Source organism: Homo sapiens, chromosome 1 (genome assembly GCF_000001405.40).
Source record: "Homo sapiens chromosome 1, GRCh38.p14 Primary Assembly".
NCBI classification, from domain to species: domain Eukaryota; kingdom Metazoa; phylum Chordata; class Mammalia; order Primates; family Hominidae; genus Homo; species Homo sapiens.
In genome coordinates this window covers 22142189-22163342 of record NC_000001.11, presented here as the reverse complement: position 1 = coordinate 22163342, position 21154 = coordinate 22142189, and the positions used below count along the sequence as shown (strand labels likewise).

The following is a 21154-nucleotide window of genomic DNA, read 5'->3' as shown; positions in this document are numbered from 1 at the left end:
GAACCGCAGTTACTGGACGTTACTCATGACGCAGTGACGCGGCAGCGTGAGGATGACAGCTGTAGCCACCCCGGGGGCTGCTCTGACAATGAAACTAGCGCAGTGCCGGCATGGGACTCAACACTGACTGACCGAGGGTGCTGTCAGGAGGGCCACCATTCCCTGAGGGGACACAGAGGTTCACCTTTGTTCTGAGGGGATACTGAGAGCTTCATCCCCTTCCTGAGGGGACACTGAGGGCTCCATCCCCTTCCTGAGAAGACACTGAGGGCTCCATCCCCTTCCTGGGGACACTGAGAGCTTCATCCCCTTCCTGAGGGGATGCTGAGGGCTTTATCCCGTTCCTGAGGGGATACTGAGGGCTTCATCCCCTACCTGGGGACAGTGAGGGCTCCATCCTCTTCTTGAGGGGACACTGAGAGCTTCATCCACTTTCTGAGGGGACACTGAGGGCTTCATTCCTTTCCTGAGGGGACACTGAGGGCTTCATCCCATTCCTGAGGGGAAACTGAGGGCTTCATCCCATTCCCGAGGGGACACTGAGGACTTCATCCCCTTCCCGAGGGATACTGAGGGCTCCATCCCCTTCTGAGAAGACACTGAGGGCTCCATCCCCTTCCTGCGGACACTGAGAGCTTCATCCCCTTCCCGAGGGACACTGAGGGCTCCATCCCCTTCCTGAGAAGACACTGAGGGACTCAGCCCTCTCCTGAGGGAACACTGAGGCCTCACCCCTTTCCCCAGGGCTGCTGGGCTGTGTGATCTCTGCCCCACCCAGTGGTGAGTCCTGAGTTTGGGGGCAGCCACCTGGTTGGAAGGGAGCCAGAGTATTGAAACTGACACTGCATGGCATAGTCAGACCATTTTTTAACTTGACTAGTGTTTATCTGGGGAGGCTCTGAGAGGTCTGATGGTGCTTATGGGGACCTGAAGGGCTCCCAAGTTGTGCCTCAGCACTGCTGACCACCTGGTGGCTCTCGTCCTATCTGACCTGAGACCTGTCCTTGCCCTCTTCAGGACAAGCTTCACAGCACAGCCATGCCCTCTTCTTGCATCACCCCTTCACCACTCCCATCAGCAGGTGCACCCATCCACATGATCTTTGCTAAGAAATGAGTTCCCCCAACCTGTGAGCACTGACTTTGGAGTCAAAAAAGCAAGGGGGTTCTTCTGGCTGTGTGGCCTTGCCTGAGTCACCTGACTCCTCTGAGCATCACAGGGCAGAGAACGCACTACCTACCGCTGGATGCCATGAGGATTAAACGTGGAAACTTAAGAAAGGTCTGGATTCAGCAGCAGGCCCTCAGTAAATGAGGAACATGCACAGGGGTATGGATTGAAGGTTTTCGTCCCCTCCCAAAATTCATGTGTTGAAAACTTATCCCCAATGCAACAGCACTGGAAGACGGGGCCTTTTGGGAGCTGTTTAGGTCATGAGGGCTCCACCCTCATGAATAGAGTGATGCTGTTATAAAAGAGTTTGCAGGAGTGTGGGTTCCCTCTCTACCGCTCTTCTGCCACATGAGGACACAGCAGGAAGGCCCTCGCCAGATGTCAACACCATGATCGTGGACTTCCCAGCCTCCAGAACTGTGAGCAATACATTTCTGTTCTTTATAAATTACCTAGTCTCAGCTATTTTGTTAGAGCAGTTTAAATGGACTAAGACACAAGCCAGGAAATAACACGTTTGCATTCTTCCCAGCCCTTCTCTTGCTTGCTTTCTAAGGGGGGTGCAGGCTTGAAGCAGAGAAGGCTGGGGAGAACCCAGGAGCGGGTGAGCCAGGCACCAGGCACGAGGCCCCAAGTGAGGCACTAGGGATACAACTGGAAATGAGACTCAGTTTTGCATACCCCCAGTAAGAGTATCAGGAAGGCCCCAGCTACACTCTGTCCTCTTTCTCTTCCCAACTGGGCCCAGTGTGTGGCCACTGCAGCCCACACATCCAAGCTCTGTCCATGTCCCCCAAACATAGGCTCCATGGCCACCTCCAGGCCTAGCAGCATAGTGGAGTCCACCCTCAGGAGAATGGGTCACAGGAAGGGAGCCACACAGGCCCCGGAGCAGGCTCAGGCCTTTGGAGCAGGCCATTCCAGCATCCAGAGTGTGCTCTACAAGCCGGGGTGGTCTGGGCTCTGGGTGGGCACCTACTCTTGGCCCCTTACCCTGTGGGACGGGGTGTGGGCCAGAAGTAACCATAGCCAGATCCAGGGTCAAAGCCTGGGCCCTGCTTGCCTTGATCTAGGGCAATTAGACACTGACTGAGTCCCTGTGCACTTAGAGTCGAACAGCAAGAACAGGCATTAAACAAAGAACTTGAAGAAGGTGAGATCCGTGATACAAACGCCAGTGGAGGGAGAGCCTGGCTTCCCCTGGGAGTGGAAGCGAATCCTCCAATGCCCCCAGCTGAGGCCCCTTCAAGTCCCTCCCAGCCCCCCAGACAGAGAGTTTAGGGAGCTGTGCCCACAGCTTAGCACCAGTCCTGCCACGCTCTGGGCTCTGAGTCCCAGGGTCCCTGGGGCAGTGTCTTCCAGCAGATGGCTTCCTGCCCAGTTGCAGATGCCTGCCCACCCCAGCCCAGGGATCCAGATGCTCGGCATGCAGTTAACAAGTGCGCTACCACATTCTCATGCACCTTGAAGTTGGAGAACCCCTGCTGGAGGGAGCACACCCTGTCTTTGCATTTGTTCTGCATTCTTATATTGAGCACCTATAGTATGCCTGGCACCGATCTGGGCACTGAGGATACACCTGTGCACAGACATGGCCCCCGCACCCACGGAGCTGGCCTCCTAGCCAGGGAGACAGACAGTAAGGCAAATAAATGCATGACGAGATCATTCCCACAGTGGTAAGATCCGTGAGGACAATAAAAAGGGCAGGGAAGGCCTCGTGGAGGAGGTGCTGTTGGAGCTAAGACCTGAAGGACTTACAGCCAGGTCTTTCTGTGCCACATCCTAACCATTGCGTGACCCTGCCTCCCTTTGTCCGGCTGGGGCACCCTCAGGCCTGAGGGGCCAGGAAAAGTGAGGGTGATGGTGGAAAGAAGGCCATGCCTCCTCCCCCTGGAGAAAAACCTTCACAAACTGAGCGTGGAGGGAAGTGGTGATATAAAACCCACCACATATAAATAGGCCCGTCCGCTCCAGAGTTGCCCGGGAAAGCTGCGGTCAGTTTGGACTTTGCTTAAGGCTGAGCTCCCGGCCACCGAGAGCCCAAAACGGCTGAACAAACTTCGAGCTTCACATGGGGCCGGCCCTCTGTGAGTTCAAGGCTGGAACATTTCTCCAGAGTCAAAACCGCAACAGGAAGACACAGAAACAGTCTTCCGAGGATGGCCGCCCTGGCGCAAGGGCCCTGGTCAGCTTCCCAAAGGTCACCGTGGAGGGGGGCCAGGGAGAAGCCAGGAATATCCGCTAGCTCCAAAACCTCTCCCCGGCCCAGGTGCCACCATGCCTGAAATTTCGCCATGAGAATTGAGGAGCTGGATTAAACATTGCTGCCCCTTTACTCCTGCAAGAAAGAACACACTTCGTCCCGAACACGGGGAGGGCAGGAAGAGGGGCTCTGGGTGGTGTGACTGTGCTGATGGTGTAGCCCGAAACCACCTTCATTTCTGATTTCAGATCTGATTTCAGATCATCTGTGCCCGTTTTCCATGGGAACCAACTGGTGTCTCCTAGGGACATAAGCCCATCCTCGTAGTTGTCTAAAGAAAGGAGTCCCAGTTGTTTATCTGCTGACATTCCCTCCACTATTGTCCTATGACCCTGCCAAATCCCCCTCTGCGAGAAACACCCAAGAATGATCAATAAAAAAAATAAATAAATAAATAAATAAAAGAAAAAAAAATTAGAAAGGAGTCCCAGGCAGGGAGTCCGGAGCTCTTGGTTCTGGCTCTGCCACTTGGCCAAGTTTCCCTTCCTATCCCTGGGCCTTGATTCACTGATCTCTACAATGGGAACTGTGACCTCATTCAAGTCCAGGGACCCTCAGGCTGATTCCCTTCCCTAACAAGAAGTAGGGATGTGGGCTTCAGAATGAAGGTGGCGGTGTCCCTGGTGAGGAGAGGAAAGAGGAGAAAAGGGCCCTGGGGAGGAAGGTGGAGATGCTGGGATGAAAGCTGCCAACTCTCCAGCTGTTGCCCACTAGCCAAATCCTGCCCCCTTCCTTGGACCCTTGGACCCCCAGGGAGCTCAACCAAGTCACCCCAGAGCAGATTTCAGCCTGCACTCTGGCCAGCATAGCCGCCAAAGCCACGCCCCAGGGCTCCCCTACTATGGGAGCAAGGAGAGCCTTTGCCAAAGCTGCTCAGACTGTCTCACTGGACCTCCACTGGTGCTGGGGAAGTGACCAGCACAGAGACCTGAGCACTGTCCGTGCAGGAAAGAGCATGGGAGTTGGGGCAGGCAGGGACCTAGGCCGGAATCTGCACTTCATCCTTAATTCACTCTGTGACCTCGACCAGTCAGTCCCTCAGCTTCTCTGAGCCTCAGTTGCACCATCTGTAGAATGGGGTTAATGATCCCTCTTAGAACCCATGGAGGCTCCCAGGACATTATGCACCGACTCTGCCTACCTCCATGCCTGGCAGACAGTAGTTTTACAGAAAAATAATTCCCTTCCTCTAAGAAATGTATGGGTTTTTTGTTGTTTGTTTGTTTGTTTGTTTATTGTTTTGTTTGTTTGTTTGAGACGGAGTCTTCCTCTGTTGCCCAGGCTGGAGTGCAGTGGTGTGATCTCAGCTCACTGCAAGATCCACCTCCTGGGTTCACACCATTCTCCTGCCTCAGCCTCCCAAGTAGCTGGGACTACAGGTGCCTGCCACCACGCCCGGCTAATTTTTTTGTATTTTTTAGTAGAGACGGGGTTTCACTGTGTTAGCCAGGATGGGCTCGATCTCCTCACCTCGTGATCTGCCCGCCTCGGCCTTCCAAAGTGCTGGGATTACAGGTGTGAGGCACCGCGCCCAGCCTGTTTTTTTGTTTTGTTTTGTTTGAGACAGAGTCTCGCTCTGTCGCCCAGGCTGGAGTGCAGAGGCACAATCTCGCCTCACTGCAGCCTCCGCCTCCTGGGTTCAAGCGATTCTCCTGCCTCAGCCTCCCCAGTAGCTGCGACTACAGGCACAGGCCACCATGCCCGGCTAATTTTTGTATTTTTTAGTAGAGATGGGGTTTCACCATATTGGCCAGGCTGGTCTCGAACTCCTGACTTTGTGATCCGCCCACTTCAGCCTCCCAAAGTGCTGGGATTACAGGCATGAGCCATCACGCCTGGCCAAGAAATGTACGTTTAACTGTGCAGTTGATCCTGGTCCCAACATTTAACCCAGGGGTTAAGCTCCTCCCACAAGGGGAGCTGGATTTATACAGTTGAGAAATATAATTGCCACCGCCACCCAGACTCCTGCCACCAGATCTCTGTATGTCACTGCGTAAGGTCCTGCCAGTGCAGGGCTACAACCATTGACAGTAACTGCAACTGAGTGCGCACCTACTATGTGCCGGGTGCTTCACACACTTTCACTGTCTCATCACATTCTCACCTCAAGCCTCCAACCTGAGGAAACCCCCCATTTTACAGATGTGAAAACTGAGGATCAGCTCAGGGATGTGAAGTTCCTCCTCAGGGACCACACAGAGGTGGAAGGGACTCAGTCTCACTGTCTGCCTGCAAAGCCCGTGCATTTACCACTAGGCTACCCTGCCTCTGGAGGATGAGCGAAGCCCCTGTTTCTCGGTACCCTAGTGAGGACTGCTGGGGAGAGCCCAGAGGAAATAGCAGAGGCCTGAGTGTCCCTCCTCCCCAACCAGCAGATGACAATTTCACTTAAACCCAATTTCCCCACATTAAGGGGAAGCCTGAACTGGGCTTCAGGGTGGACTCCCAAAGTGGCTCTGAATTCTGGAGGGGCCAAGAGTGCGGTTGTGATGCTGAGGGCACATTTCCAGGGTCATCACATTTACCGAGTTTAATATAGATACAGGAGTCTTGGTGACGGTCCCTAGATATGTGAACTTGGAGCCATTCTGGGCAATCAGGGTCCTGGGGTCACAGCTGGGAAATTCCCACAATGCCTCAGTTCTCTCTGGGAAAGTCCAGCTGTGCCTCCAGACTGGGACTCAGTCGCCACACTTACGGGCCAGCCACGGTGATCAGGGCTCTGTGGGTCTCTCCAGCCCCCCAGACACCCTGGCTGGGCCCGGGGACAGTCAGGGAAAGCTTCCTGGAGGAGGGAGGATGGAGCAGGCCTTTGTGGACGGAGAAGATTCAGGCAGGCAGAGAGAGGGGCATCTTCTCCAAAGAGTTGTCCTGGCACCATGGAGAGGGCCGGCCTTCCTAGTCAAGCAGACCTGGGTTTGAATCCTTGGATGGACAAATAAATAGATGGATAAATATATTTTGGAAAAGAAGGAAGGAAAGGAGAAAGGGAGGGAGGGAGGAAGGGAGGGCTCATTAGTACTCATTTGTTAATTCCAGGGCTGCAAGCCCTTGCTGCCCGCATTTGCCCCTCCGGCAGAACCTATAACATCAGTCAGGAGATGCTGGGTTACACACTGCAGCCACAAACAACTCCAAAGCCGGTGGCTCCACACTGTGAAGGGATTGCTCCTGTTCACACCGCATGCCTATGGATGGGAGAGCAGTGGGAGAGACCCCAAAGCCCCATCTGCTCTGTGTTGTCCCCACCCAGGTCCCAAGTCACCCCCATCCTGCTAGTTGTTGCTTGCTGTCACATTTTGCTGGCCGAAGCCAGTCACACAGCCACCTCTAACTTCAAGGGGGTGGGAAGTGCATTCCTACCTTAGATCTGGAAGGAGGAGAGCCTGGATATCTCGCTGCCACACAAACCGTGTCCCATTCCAGCTGCCTGGAGCACTGTCCCCCAGTCAGTGGGGTGGGGACTGGGCAGGGAGGGGAGACAGCAGAAAGACCCTGGCCCCATGGCCTCATTGCAGAGATCCCAGTGGCCTGCAAAGATATCCTCCCTCCCCAGCTCCCTGGCTCGGCTCGCTGTGGGTAGAGACTTCACCATCAGCCAGAGACCAAGTCTCCCAGCTGGGGCTGGAGCATGAGTCTTGTCCTGAACCACTCTCAGATGGATCCTTGCTCCCAGCTCTGCCCCCAGGGCCTAAAATGCTCTCTAGAGATCATCAAGTCCAACCCTTTCGTTTACAGAGAAGAACGCAGGCTCAGAGAGCATGCGCCGGATTCCCACAGCATTGTTGGTAAAGGGCAGAGCAGGGTCTCTAGTGACCCTGTCCAGAGTCCCTTCCACCCTCCAGCTGCAGACAGGGACCTTCTGAACGGAATGCAAGAGACGGGATAAAATGCCTGCCCTTCCCCTGGCCAAAGTCTCACTGCTGAGCTTGAAGGGGTCCTCAGGGGCAGCTGGGGCCTTGGGCCCTCTCCCACTGCTACAGGGGCCCCTTCTCACCTGCAGGGGAAGGAGCACTGGATTTGAAGTCAGACAGTCCTGTGTTCATGTCACGTCCTGACTGAGTGTCCTGGCCAAGACACCTCACTGGACCTCAATTTCCTGATCTGTAAAATAGGGACAATGATACCTGCCCTGCCTAATTCACTGGACTCATGAGAAGCTATGGGAAGATTTCTCCCATTGCGACATATTCTACAAGTGTGTATAAGGCAATGTTTTCATCCCCTTCTGCCCAGCCAGCCTGACCAGCCCTGGGTCCCCAGAGGCTCGCACAAGTTCTGCACAGAGGTGTATTCAGGGACTGTTTTGATGAACTGAATATATTAATATATGTTCTTTTTTTTTTTCTTTTTTTTTTTTTGAGACAGAGTCTCTCTCTGTCGCCCAGGCTGGAGTGCAGTGGCGTGATCTCGGCTCACTACAACCTCCGCCTCCCGGGTTCAAGCGATTCCCCTGCCTCAGCCTCCTGAGTAGCTGGGATTACAGGTGCCTACCACCACGCCCGGCTAATTTTTGTATTTTTAGTAGAGACAGGGTTTCACCATGTTGGCCAGGATGGTCTTGATCTCCTGACCTCGTGATCCACCCACTTCAGCCTCCCAAAGTGCTGGTATGTTCTTAATTCATCTCATCAGGTAGCAGCCAACTTCAAGGCCAGTGGTGTGGATAACAAAGTCCCTCGGTCCTACGAGGAGCCCAAGCACATCTGTCACAGATACAGGAGCCCGAGCGGTCGCAGTCCACGCTAGGCGCTCGGTGCTCGCTCGTCTCAGTATAATTTGGTTCATGGATTTCTAGCCCATCTCCCCCACCAGCCTGTGCACTCCATGGATGCAGGAAATGGGTCTGGCTGGTTTTCTGCTAAATCCCCAGCACCTGGGCTGGGGCCTGACATGTGGCAGATCTTCAGTGAATATTTATTGTCGGAATGAAGGATCTTGTGGATCTGGCTCTGTTCCTTCCAGCAGTGCCACCTCTCTGCGCCTCGGATTCTTTATCTGTAAGAGGTGAGGAGGTGGGAAAATCAGCTGAGATAACGAAGAACTCAGATAACAGTTTACAAAGCCCTTGGGTCACCAAAAGGCTCGCAGTGGGCCTGGCTGCTATTATCACCATTATCATCACTACCATACTGCAGAGATGAGACAAATCCCATAGCAGCTGCAGAGGGCTGGGGGAGGGCTCCAGCCGGGCCCCAACTTTGTCCTGAAATACCACACACATTGCAAGTCCAGTGCCAGACCCATGGTTCCATTTCAGCCTCCAGACAGTGGTTCTTCTCCCCATATTTTGGAAGAAGAAATGAAGAAATTGAGACTCAGGGCAACGAGAGAACTCGCCCAGGTCACACAGCGCCTAAGCACTTGATCATTTCCTGAGTGTCTCCAGGGTGCCTGTCCCTGTGCCAGCAGCGACACATGCCCTGCCTCATTTTATCATGCCCATCTTACAGGTGAAGAAATTGAGGCCCACGGAAGTCACAGGGCTTGCCCAAGAACCACAGCCAGTTAATAGCAAAGAAGCATCTCCCGCCCCCACTCGGGCCTCAGCCTCAGTTCCCGGTGCCCACTCCACCCCCAGGAGGCTGGGATCTGAGCAGGGCCCTGGCCACCCTCTGCCACTCCGGAAGTGCCCTGTGTCTGTACCTTGATCTCCACACCCACGGTGCCAGGAAACCCCAGCAGGGGCGGCAAACTGCGGGATATTTATAGCGAGCGTGCAGAAAGCTGCCACCCCCATCTGTTTACCCAACAACGCACTTCTCGCTGGCCACTTACAGCCCCGCCAGCCACAGACAGACCCTCTCGGTCGCCTCATCTATTTTTTCCTCCCCACTTAATTTTGCATCATCCCAGCTTCCAAAATAAACTTCCCCAAACCAGCCAGGCTCATTCTGGCCCAGAATCCCTGCCCAAGAGCCCCCTTCAGCCCCTGCCCCCACATCAGCCCATACAGCAGAACCACCAAACCCAACCCGGCCCCTTGGCTGCCTTTGGCCTTGATTTAGAAGCAGCTGCTCCTGCCCCGGCGGGTTTCCGACAAGGCAGTGCCGGGGCGTCTGCCTCTGTGGGGATACCGGCTGGGCTTCTGTGTGCATAGTTGCTGGTAGGAGGCTGAAGATACTGCCCCCTGTGCCCCATCCACCTCCCCAACACACATTCACACACACATGTATGCACACACACACATATACGCAGAGCCCCACAAGCGTCAGCCTCCTCCAAGGCTTCTCTTCCCTCGTTCCCTGGCCCAAGCTGGCCTCTTCCAGCTTTGCACGTGGCCCAGCCTCTCCTCACCTGCCCAGCCACCACTCTGAACTTTTCCTTCCTCAGTCCCACCCTGCCATCTCACCTCCAGGCCTTTGGACATGCTCTTTCCTTAGCCTAGAACACTAGAACAGTTTCCCCTCACCACCTGCCAAGCTCACCTTCCCAATCCCTCAGGCCTAAACTCTAGGTCACCTCTTCCAGGAAATTCCCTGTCCAGCGTAGGGGAGCAGGTCTGTCCTGGGCCATCCTACCTTCCACCAGCCCAAGAGAGAGTTCTAAGTCACACCTAGGGTGGAATGCAGCCCCCACCCCAGTTCTCCATGAATTTCTCAGCCCAGCCCTGGCCCTGCACACATAAGCAAACCAGCTCTCTCATCCCCAGGAGAAAGGACTCCTTCACCCCAGGACCAGAGAGGATCATTCAGCCCAACCACCAGTTGCAGAAGCTAGGGACGCCTCAACCATTCCAGAATTACCATTCCAACTTCATGTTCAATCCCTTGAGTTGCAGCTTTTTCAGGCTACTAATTCACAAGCCCATTTATTTCTTCTAAGTTTTTTTGCAAAGGTTGAGGATAGGAAAGGAATGAATGTTATGTCTATTCCCATTTAAAAGAAAGATACTCGTAGGCCCATTTTTGGATAAAGAAACTATAGCTTAGAGAATCCCGCTTCAATTATTCATTCAGCACTCATGCACTGAGCTCTCACCACATCCCAGGCACATCACAGCACCAGGGGCACAGCAGTGGGCAAAACAGCCACAGTCCCTGCCCTCCTGGAGGCCCCAAGCTGCGGGAAAAGACGCATTCAACAGATGATTGCGCCAATAACTATTGAATAACCATTTGTATTACGTTGACAGTGTTTCAAAGCTCAGGACTAAGACAGAATATGTAATCAGAAGCCCACAGAAGCCTTCTCAGACCTGTTATGGAAGTTGAGACCTGCAGCAAATTAGTCCACTAAAGAGCAAGTTGAGACCAGGCACAGTGGCTTACACCTATAATCCCCGCACTTTGGGAGGCCGAGGCAGGGGGATCACTTGAGCTCAGGCGTTCGAGACCAGCCTGGCCAACATGGTGAAACTCCAACTCTACTAAAAATACAAAAATTAGCCAGGCGTGGTGGCATGGCCCTATAGTCCCAAGCTACTCAGGAGGCTGAGGCAGGAGAATCGCTTGAACCCAGAAGGCGGAGGTTGCAGTGAGCCAAGATGATGCCACTGTACTCCAGCCTGGGCAACAGAACAAGACTCTGTCTCAAAAAGAAAAAAAAAAAAAAAAAGCCAGTGGAGGGGCATTCCCAGCAGGAGAAACAGCACATGGAAAGGCCTGGAGAGACCTCTTGACCTCCCAAAGTGCTGGGATTACAGGCACACGCCACCGCGCCCAGGGGTGCAAGCCTGTAGTCCCAGGTACTCAGAAGGCTGAGGATTGCTTGAGCCCAGGAATTCAAGGCTACAGCAAGCCATGATTGCATTACTGCACTCCAGTCAGTGACTGGACAGCAAGACCCTGTCTCTAAAAAAAAAAAAAAAAAAAAAAAGAGGAAGAAGGAAGGAAGAAAGGAAGGAAGGAAGGCAGAAAGGAGGGAGGGAGGGAGGAAGGAAGGAAGGAGACATTCAAGTGCAATTCAGCACCTCGTGCAATAATCCTTAGCTATCAGTTACATTCCCTGTTACCTTGACCTTGACCAAATACCGCTTCTAATTCACCTTGAATTTTTCTTTATCAGTCAGACCTTTTTCTGAGACTTCAGAATTGCTGGTGTCCAGATTGTCTGCCTCTCTCTTAATGGTCACTGCCAGACTAGCTTTTCATTCCTCCAAGTTCCTCTGATTTCTTCCCTTAAAGGTGATGTGCATTACCTTTGAGAAAAGTCAAGTTCACACTGCCCACCCCCAAGCTTCCCCAGGGCAATGGGCTGCATTAGAAGTCTGCCATTGTGGAAGGGATGGTTCTAACAGGGCCTTACCACTCCTGAATAGTGTGTTTCCCAGGTTGGGTCTTGTTAACTGCAGCTGTTCTCCTAACAGCAGCTTCAACACATGCTCAGATTCAACCTTCTGTTGAAGGTCCAGCACTAGCAAAGCCTCCACAACCCCCATGTGCCACTCTGCTTCCCAGAGGAGTGGCATCCCCTCCAGGTCAAGCCATTTTCAAAATTCAAGCAGGTGCCGGGTGCAGTGGCTCACGCCTGTAATCCCAACACTTTGAGAGGCTGAGGTGGGCAGATTGCTAGACCCCAGGAGTTTGAGACCAGCCTGGGCAATACAGTGAGACCCTGTCTCTAAAAAACACAAAAATTAGCCGGATATTGTGGTGCATGCCTACATTCCAGCTACTCAGGAGGCTGAGGTGGGAGGATCTTTCTGGACCAGGAGGTCGAGATTGCAGTTTGAGCTGTGATTGTGCCAGTGCACTCCAGCCTGGGTGATGGAACAAGACCCTGTCTCAAAAAAAAAAAAAAGATTCAAGCAGAACGCTCAGCTGCAACAAGTGTTTTCACCACAGTCTTCTGTTGCTAGAAGGAAAGAGCAAGCTCCCAGCTGACTCGGTGAGGTGACAACAGGATAAAGACAGAGAGGAGTCAGCATCCAGGATTCAATCCAGTTGGAAAGACCAAGCGAGGACAGGAGCCCTGTGAGGGAATCAGAATCACGACCTGAGGCTGGGCCAGTGGACAAGACCCCAGACCTGCTGGCCAGGCTGTGCAGGGGGATCCCAGGACGGCAGGTAAAGGTGAATGCCCTCCACCCTGATCAGTGAGAGCCCCATCCTTCAGGTGGGTGGAAAAGGGATACCTGCCTTCTGCTGGGCAGGGAGGGGCTGGGGCATAACAAGGTCTTACCCACTCCAGGGTGAAATGATGACTGCTGCAAGTACAGCCCTTGGAATCCCAGAATCACAGGACATTGGGGACTTTTTCTTCTCAGCATTACAAGAGGCTTGAGAGAGAGGAGGTTAAAATATCCCAGGGCTGGGCACGGTGGCTCACGCCTGTAATCCCAGCACTTTGGGAGGCCAAGGCAGGTGGATCACCTAAGGTCAGGAGTTCAAGACCAGCCTGGCCAACAGGGTGAAACCCTGTCTCTACTAAAAATACAAAAATTAGCCAGGCATGGTGGCAGGTGCCTGTAATCCCAGCTACTCAGGAGGCTGAGGCACGAGAATCACTTGAACCCAGGGGAGGAGGTTGCAGTGAGCCAAGATCGTACCACTGCACTCCAGCCCAGGCGAAAGAGCAAGATTCTGTCTCAAAAAAAAAGAAAAAAGAAAAGAAAAGAAAAAAGACATCTCAGGGTTCCAGGTGGAGAAAATGGGCTTCATCTAAAGCAGGAAAGACTGCAGTTAGACATGAGGTAGGAATACTGATCATCCAAGTGTCAGCATGTGGAATGAACTCCCGAAGGCGGCTATAGATTCTGCATTCCCAGGACCGAATGCAAAAGGACCTGCCCTGACTGGTGAGGCCCGACCAGAAGGGCCAGCTTTCCTGAGTCTGACGACCCCTCCTTCACGGCAAAAGATTCCATAATGAGGGCACTTTTAGTATGTGTTAATAGCAAAATAACAAAAAGCCAACATAACCCATTCAGACTTTAGAGCACATACAGGAAGTCCAGGAACAGAGGAACAGCCTGACAGCACAAACAGGCACTGTCGAGTGGGGGACCCTCTTACAAATCAACTTCATGTCTGCACCAGCCAAGGACATTTTATTTTTATTTATTTATTTATTTATTTATTTATTTATTTATTTATTTTATTTTATTTATTTTTGGGGATGGAGTTTCACTCTTGTTCCCCAGGCCGGAGTGCAATGGCGCGATCTCAGCTCACCACAACCTCCGCCTCCTGGGTTCAAGCGATTCTCCTGCCTCAGCCTCCCAAGTAGCTGGGATTACAGACATGCACCACCATGCCCAACTAATTTTGTATTTTTAGTAGAGACAGGGTTTCTCCATGTTTGTCCGGCTGGTCTCAAACTCCCAACCTCAGGTGATCTTCCCACCTTGCCCTCCCAAAGTGCTGGGATTACAGGTGTGAGCCACCACATCCGGCAGCCAAGGGCATTTTAAAAAGCCACAACTGGGAGATAAAGGGGCATGGCTCTAGATTAATAACAATCAGGAGACATAACAATCAAATATCATGGGTGAACCTTGTTTAAGTCCTGATTGAAGAAGCCATCAGTAAACAGACTTTTTTAAAACTATTGGGGACATTTGATTCTGATGTTGGTGTTAATTTCATTAGGTAAGATAATAGCATGGTGGTCATGTAAGAAACTGTCCTTGTGTTCGAGACAGTGGTGTACTGGTAAATGTTTAACAACCAGCTCTCTGGGGTGGGGAGATGGAGGGGAGCCCTGGTTTGTGGTGTGTGCCGATTCCCATGGTGTAAATATTCCCACCATGGCCGATTTCAAGCTACCAATATGATGTTTCTGAACACAGAATTAGGGAGAGATGCACCAGTCAGGTCTTAGCCACTAAAACCAGCAGCTCTGGCACACCCCTGGTCTTAGAGCTGCACATTGAAGTTTGTATGGGTGAAACGAAAAGGGATCTGGCATGTGTTTTGAAATAATTTAGTAAAGATTTTAAAAAGTAGATGAAACAGACCAGGCGCGGTGGCTCACGCCTGTAATCCCAGAACTTCGGGAGGCCGAGGCAGGTGGATCACCTGAGATCAGGAGTTCGAGACCAGCCTGGCCAACATGGTGAAATCCCGTCCTACTAAAATTACAAAAATCAGTCGGGTGTGGTGGCACTTGCCTGTAATCCCAGCTACTCAAAAGGCTGAGGCAGGAGAATCACTTGAACCTGGGAGGCGGAGTTTGCAGTGAGCTGAGATCATATTATTGCACTCCAGCCTGGGCGACAGAGCAAGACTCCATCTCAAAAAAAAGAAAAAAATGTAGATGAGGCAAATGGGGTGAAATATTGATAATTGTTGAATCTGGGTAATTCAGATATGGGTGTTTATTAATGCTATTATTCTTTATTGTATATATTTGAACATTTTCACAGTAAAACATTTAAAACTGTGATTATCTTCTATATAGAAGGAAGGCTTTTAGTCCAAGAATTCTGGGTGTTCACATTGATTTCTAGACCTCTACTCTAACTCCGCAGCCTCCCAGCGGTCTGAAGGTAAAGAATGAGAACCACACACCTACATCCATCTTCTGATCATCAATGGGTCATAACCAAGGTTACTCTACAGAACCGGCACTAGGTGATGGGTGGAAAGAAAGCCCTAAAAAGAAAAAGAAACCTACGTCCAGATTGGCAGTCCTGGGTGTACCACCTACCAACAGTGTGATGATCTTAGACAACTTAACTGGACTCTCTGAGCCTCTATTTCCTCACTGGCAAAATAAGGGTACTAACAGCTTATGGTAAAGATTAAATGCAATATGTAGGCACAGCTCTTGAGGTGTTCTGTGACAAACAGTAGGATGCTCAGTAAATACTGGCTTCCTTCCTTCCCATAGGGATCTGACAGGGGTTACGGGGGCATGAGTGAGCTGTTAAAAGTACAATCCCCATCTAAAGTCAAAGATCGCTCTTCACCCGAGAATGTGGGTCCCATGTTGCCAAATCTCCCATTTCTCAAGAGAAGCTGGAGATCTAGCTTCTCATGTGAAATCTCCCAATCTTGAAATAGTATCAGTAAATTCATGTACTTGAAAACACACTAGGCAGGCCAAGCAAAACACCTCCACAGACCACAGGTGCGCAACTTCTGGTTTCAAACATAGAACAAGATGAAGCGCTAACAATCACTGAAGCCTTACTCAACATTCACTGAAGCTGGGCCCTGTGCTCAGAAGCCTTTACACACCTTATCTACTGATTCCTCATGACATCGCTATGATCCCCTTGAACAGATGAGGAAACTGAGGCTCAGAGAGGCAAAGAGATCTGTCAGGGCCTGGAACAAATGCAGGTATTCCCCAGAACTTGCTGGTCCACTTCACTGCTTCTCTAGATCCCACAAGAGTCTTTAAGGAGCAAATGCCAGTCCCAGAGAGGAGCAAGGACTTGCCGAGGGCCGCACATACATGGATGGCTGGCTGGGACTGACCAGGTTTCCCGTTCCCTCCCTGGTCAGGGTGAACAGCCTTGGAGGAGACGCCTGTGCAGATATGCCCAGCCAAAGCCCAACACATGTAGACCAGAGTGGCACGGGAAGAAAGTACCTTTTATTTCCTTGCAAAGTGCACGGATAGGCATTAAGACTTTTCTAGACCCTAATTAGCTGGGCGAAGTGGCAGGCACCTATAATCCCAGCTACTCTGGAGGCTGAGGCAGGAGAATCGCTTGGGCCCTGGGAGGCAGAGGTTGCAGTGAGCTGAGATCGCGCCATTGCACTCCAGCCTGAGTGACAAGAGCAAGACTCCATCTCAAAAAAAAAAAAAAAGAATTTTCTAGACCCTGAGCCTAGTGCCCCCAGTTTCTTCACCTCACAAATCTGGGAAATTGGACTAGAAATCCTGGTCACCAGCTGACCTGACACTCCGTTACCAGGTGCTTCCAGGACTGAGCTGGAGAAACATCCAACCACGTTGCTTTGGGCCCACTCCCTAAGAGCTGGTGATAACTTAGACACACTGAATGTGATTCTTTCTGATTAAAAACTTGACTGGGTTTCCCTTCCTCAGTGAATTTTCATAGTTATTAAGGAGGGAGAACTAATTCCAAAAATGGGCCGCTCAGGAAGTTAAGGAATTGGTCCCTTCAAGAAAGATATGTTCCCATTCTATTATGTGTGAGGTACTCATGGTGCTGGGCACAGAGAGGGATATGGTGTGGAGGGCTCTGCCTTGGATTTTGAGGGTTTAAAGTAACCCCCAGGAAGAGTCTACAGAAACCCCATGAGCTTCCCCTTCTGAACACAGACATTAATTCTGACATGTGGAAGACTTTTGTCCATTGAACAGCTTTGTGCTCGCTCAGTGCCCAGACCACCTGCTTCCAAACCCTGGCTGTGCTGCTACCTGGGTGACTTTAGGCAATCCACTTGAACTCTCTGTGCCTCAGTTTCTCCATATGTAAAATGGGAATAACAATAATCTTAACCTATGTAATAGGGTTGTTAATATGTCTTATAGCAGTTTTAGAGCCACACATGGGCTTCCCCTCCTGTAAATGGAACTAAGAACAGTATCTACTTCCTAGAGCCGTGGCCAAGATTCCATGAGTTAATGCGAACAGGCAAAGCACTTGGAACAGTGGCTGGTATATATAGAAAGTACCAGATGCACTCTTACTACTGACATTAAAGAGCTATTGACAATTTGACTTTTTAGTTAATTTGCATTGATATCTTCACAGTTGGGCTGTTCTTGAAAGTTAGAAGAGCATTTCCTCCAAGAGACTTTCTCATTAAGAATTTCCGGCCAGGCAAGGTGGCTCATGCCTGTAATCCTAGCACTTTGGGAGGCCGAGGCAGGTGGATCACGAGGTCAAGAGATCGAGACCATCCTGGCCAACATGGTGAAACCCCGTCTCTACTAAAAAAATACAAAAATTAGCTTGGCATGGTGGCACGCACCTGTAGTCCCAGCTACTCAGGAGGCTGAGGCAGGAGAATCAGTTGAACCCGGGAGGCGGAGCTTGCAGTGAGCCGAGATCACACCACTGCACTCCAGCCTGGGCGACAGAGGGAGACTCCGTCTCAAAAAAAAAAAAAAAAAAAAAAAAAAGAATTTCCACTGACTCAGAGCAAAGGGCTCCTCCTCTCCATTATCACAGCACAGCTCAGGGAGACACTTTCTGATGGCTCCAGTTCTCTCCCTCCTGGGCTCAGCTTGATCCTGCTCGTGGGGCTCACACACACCCACTCATATGCATCTCCCAGCACCCCAGGAGAAGGCAAGCCAGGTAACATTGTTCCCACCTGATGGATACAGAAACTGAAGGTCCTGCAGCTTCCCAAAGGTCAAGTGTCATGTGCTTTGGGACAGGGGCTTAAGCCCAAACACCTGAGTCCCAGGCTCAGGATGGTATGGGAGCCGGGGATGTGGCTCTGGAGTCCCAGGTCCACCACTTTCCTTAAGCAAGTAACCTGGTGTCTTCATCTGTAAAATGAGGGTGATAACAGTACGTACTTCCTAGATTTGTTGCAACGATTGAATGAGTCAAAGCGTGTAAAGCACTAAGAACAGTGCCTGACATACCAGGGCACAACATTTGAGTGGCACAGTGCATCCTAGGTGGCCTGGCACAGTCTTGGTCTATGCCTGGTAGCCTGGCAAATCTTCCAGTTAGAGCCCCCCGTCACTCTTGAAAACATCCTGGTTTGGAAGAAAATTATATGGCCATCCTAACATAATTACCTGTTGCCATCTAAATTATTATCGTTGTTATTATTATTTTCCACCATACCATACTGAGTCTCCAGGAAGTGAATATGCTGGTTCAAAATAGGTCAGCACTTCAGTACCACCCTTAAACACAGGTGAGAGTGGCCCCTGCCCTGGGGACCCCCCCAGTCTGGCCCTCCTCCAGCTAACCTCTCATCACAAGGAGGGAAGACCATGGGACAAGGGGACATGCCCACCTGGAACTTGTGGCACCTCCACTAGAGCATACTCTGGGTGCCCAGGCCCCTGGGGTTCCCTGCAGAGATGGCCCTTAGCCCACTGCCAGGACCTGCGTGGGTCTCTTCCGCAGATCCAGCCCGAGGACAGAGTACACCACTGGCGTGCCCAGCCCTAAGCCTGAGGGGCTACCAAGGGGCTGAGCTTGCATGTGCAGGCTGAGATGTTCATGAATGTGCACAAGACTCTCGAAGGACAGGACAGAGGCAGAGGTAGGAAAAGGTAGGGGGCAGGGGCCCAGGCCAGGCACTAGGGGCCCCCTCTCCCTGTGCCACCAGCTCCAGGGCAAGGTCTGAGGAGTATGAGAATGCCACACTCAAAGCCAGCTTTCTGCCTTGTTAGGAAAGTGTATTTGTCAAGATAGAAGAATAGAACATAATTTATTTTGCATTTTGTTAGCTTGATTTATAGCCTGCAAATATTTGGACATATGGTATGTGAACCTCCATCTATACTCTTGCCCAGCCCCACAAATCCCTGCCACGTTCCACCCAGTCCCAATACCAAATGTTTACTGAGCCCTTCCTCTGTTCTGAGCCCAGGGGACCCCAGGGCACCATCCCAGCACCCAAACATGATGGCCTCTGTGGGAGCAAACTTCATACTCCAAAATCAGTGAAGAACTAAGATCAGGGGGTGAGGGCATAGACCTGGTCCTTGCCTCTGTTCCCAACCCCTAGGGAGGTGGGACAGGTGCCTCCCTTTCCGGGCCTTAGTTTTACTGTTTAGATAAGAGGTCCCTCTACCTGTGAGCAGCTGGGGGATGCAGCCTGGAGGATGAGTAGCACACAGAATCAGATCAGTGACCTGAGAGGGTGTGGCGTGGACTTGGGCAGACAATTCTTAGGGGTTACAGTGATGTGGAATTGAGCTCTCTGGACTAGCCAAGCACAGGCTGTTGCAGCCCATTCCATTCCATTCATTTATTCCTTCCACAAACATGGCAGGCACCGCCCTGTGCCCAAAACAAACAAGAGGCTGAATCTGCCTAGTATGGGAGGATAAATCGAACAAGCACATAGAAAACCAAATGCAAAGTAAGACTTGGTGAGTGAGCCAAGAGAGCTTCCCTAAACTCCTCCTGTCCTCCCAATCACAGCGTCTTAAGCCCACTTCCCGGATGAGAAAACGGAGGCTCAGAGTCAAGACCCTGCTGCCTGGGGCGCGCCCAGACCTTGTGGCTAGCCAGAAGCGAGGTTTCGGATTCCCACAGTCTCGGGCCACTGTCCCAAGCTGCCCAAAGCTGGGGAGGCCCCGTCCAGCTCCCGGAAGGCTGTAGGGAGGTGAGCGCCAGGGAGGGGCTGGGCCGCAGGACGCGGGGGCCAGGAGGCAGGGAGGGGCCGGGCGGGGGGCGGTCGGGAGACATCCAGCGCCCCGATGTGCAGCCCCAGGCACCCGGAGCGCCAGCGCCTGGGTGCGCGCGAGTGGTAGCCGCGCTCCGGTGGGTCCGCCGCGGTCGGACCGGGGTCTGGGCTCCAGGCGCCGGCGGGGGGCGGTGGGGGGGGTAGGGGGACAGCGAGGGCCGCGCTGCAGTGCCCGCAGCGGCGGGTTGGGGGAGCTGTGCCCGCCTGTCCCCTAGGCCCGGGCGGCGGCCGGGCAGCTGGGTCGCCGCGCCTCTAGCCGGGCCGGGCTCGGCGGCGCGCAGCCAGGCGTGCCTGGAGCGGGCTCGGGCCCCAAGTCCTCCGGAGCGCCCAGCCGGGGAGGCCCCGGGAGCAGCCCAGTCCCGCGGGCTAAGGCGGCAGCCGCCGCCGCTCCGGCCCGCCCCCGGGGGGGTGTCCCGGGCCGCTGGGCCCGCCCAGGTAACCCCATCCTCGGCCCGCCCCCGGCCCGCCCCCCCGGCCGCCCGCCCGCCCGCCCGCCTCCGCCGCCGCCGCCGCCGCCGCCGCCGCCGCATCCCGGCTCTGGGGCGGCGCTGACAGTCTGGTCCGCGCCGGGCAGCGGGCGCAGCAGCGGGCAGGCTGCCGGCAGGCACACGGAGGCAGAGCCCCGCCGCGCGCGCCCCGGCCCGCCCGCGGGCGCCCACCTGCAGCCCCGACGGGAGGCCCCCCGCGGCCGCAGCCGCTGCCCCGGGCCGGGCGCCCGCGGCGGCACCATGAGTCCCCGCTCGTGCCTGCGTTCGCTGCGCCTCCTCGTCTTCGCCGTCTTCTCAGCCGCCGCGAGCAACTGGCTGTAAGTCTGGCCGGGGCCGAGCGGGGCGGGGCGGGGCGGGGCAGGCCCCGGGGGCAGCGGCCGGTGCCAGGCGGCGCGGGGCAGCGGGCGCGGGGCAGCCCGGCAGGTGTCTCGGCCGCGGGACCGGAGGCTCGCTCGCTCCGCTGCCGCCGCCACGGCCCGAACGTCCCTCTGCACACCCGGGGTCCCCTCCTGCCCGGGTCCGGCTCCCTGCCCAGAGGCGTCAGGGGTGGCTGTGGCGGCGTCCGCACCGGTAGGCGGCTCGGGGCTCTCGAGGGCGCCAGGGGTGCGAGCGCGGGGCGGTGGCCCGGGAGGGGCGCCGGACGCGGGTTGCAGTCCAGCCGGGCTGACAGGTCGCTGAGGAAGCCCATTGCAGGGAAGGGCTCCGGGACATAATAGCAGGTTAATCCCGAGAAGTCCGGAGCGAGCTCCCAGCGCCGAGCTGCGCCGAGCTGCGCCGCGCTGCGGGCTGGGCTGGAGGCGTGCAGGGACCTGTTTCTGCTTGGGGGGCGGGAGCCGGAGACAGAAGGAAGGGACCAGGACGCCTGGTCTCCCAGGGCCCGGGGCTGGCGCTGGCGCTGGCCGGGCCTTGGTTTTTCCCCGGGGCAGGAAGAAACTCCGTCCAGACCTTAAAGAAGACAACGGCCCCCCAGCTCC

General features: G+C 53.7%; 1 protein-coding gene and 1 long non-coding RNA gene across 8 annotated transcripts in view, besides 2 other annotated features; one reads left to right on the top strand and one right to left on the bottom strand.

Annotated features, from left to right (window-relative positions):
* Positions 1 to 5957: 5957 nt before the first annotated feature.
* LOC105376845 (uncharacterized) overlaps positions 5958 to 21154 on the bottom strand; it is a 16433-nt gene continuing 1236 nt past the window's right edge. Inside the window, exons 1-5 of one of the 7 annotated variants that reach the window (XR_947056.2) lie at positions 20352 to 20493; positions 7985 to 8440; positions 7440 to 7546; positions 6806 to 6906; positions 5958 to 6367 (exon numbers count right to left, since the gene is read on the bottom strand). This is a non-coding gene — a long non-coding RNA (uncharacterized LOC105376845). The other 6 variants (XR_947051.3, XR_947052.1, XR_947050.1 and 3 more) reach the window with 6 other exon arrangements.
* Positions 19827 to 20156: a silencer, noted in NCBI's record as "silent region_400". NCBI's record gives its function as "represses an Ori minimal core promoter by ATAC-STARR-seq in GM12878 lymphoblastoid cells {active_cell/tissue: GM12878}" and the evidence as "EXISTENCE:reporter gene assay evidence [ECO:0000049][PMID:35858748]".
* The window catches only part of WNT4 (Wnt family member 4), a 25785-nt gene continuing 24876 nt past the window's right edge, over positions 20246 to 21154 (top strand). The window contains exon 1 of the mRNA NM_030761.5: positions 20246 to 20497. Coding sequence (NP_110388.2) covers positions 20421 to 20497 — 77 coding nt within the window. The 5' untranslated portion in view covers positions 20246 to 20420. The remainder of the gene's footprint in view (positions 20498 to 21154) is intronic.
* Positions 20719 to 20778: a silencer, noted in NCBI's record as "silent region_399". NCBI's record gives its function as "represses an Ori minimal core promoter by ATAC-STARR-seq in GM12878 lymphoblastoid cells {active_cell/tissue: GM12878}" and the evidence as "EXISTENCE:reporter gene assay evidence [ECO:0000049][PMID:35858748]".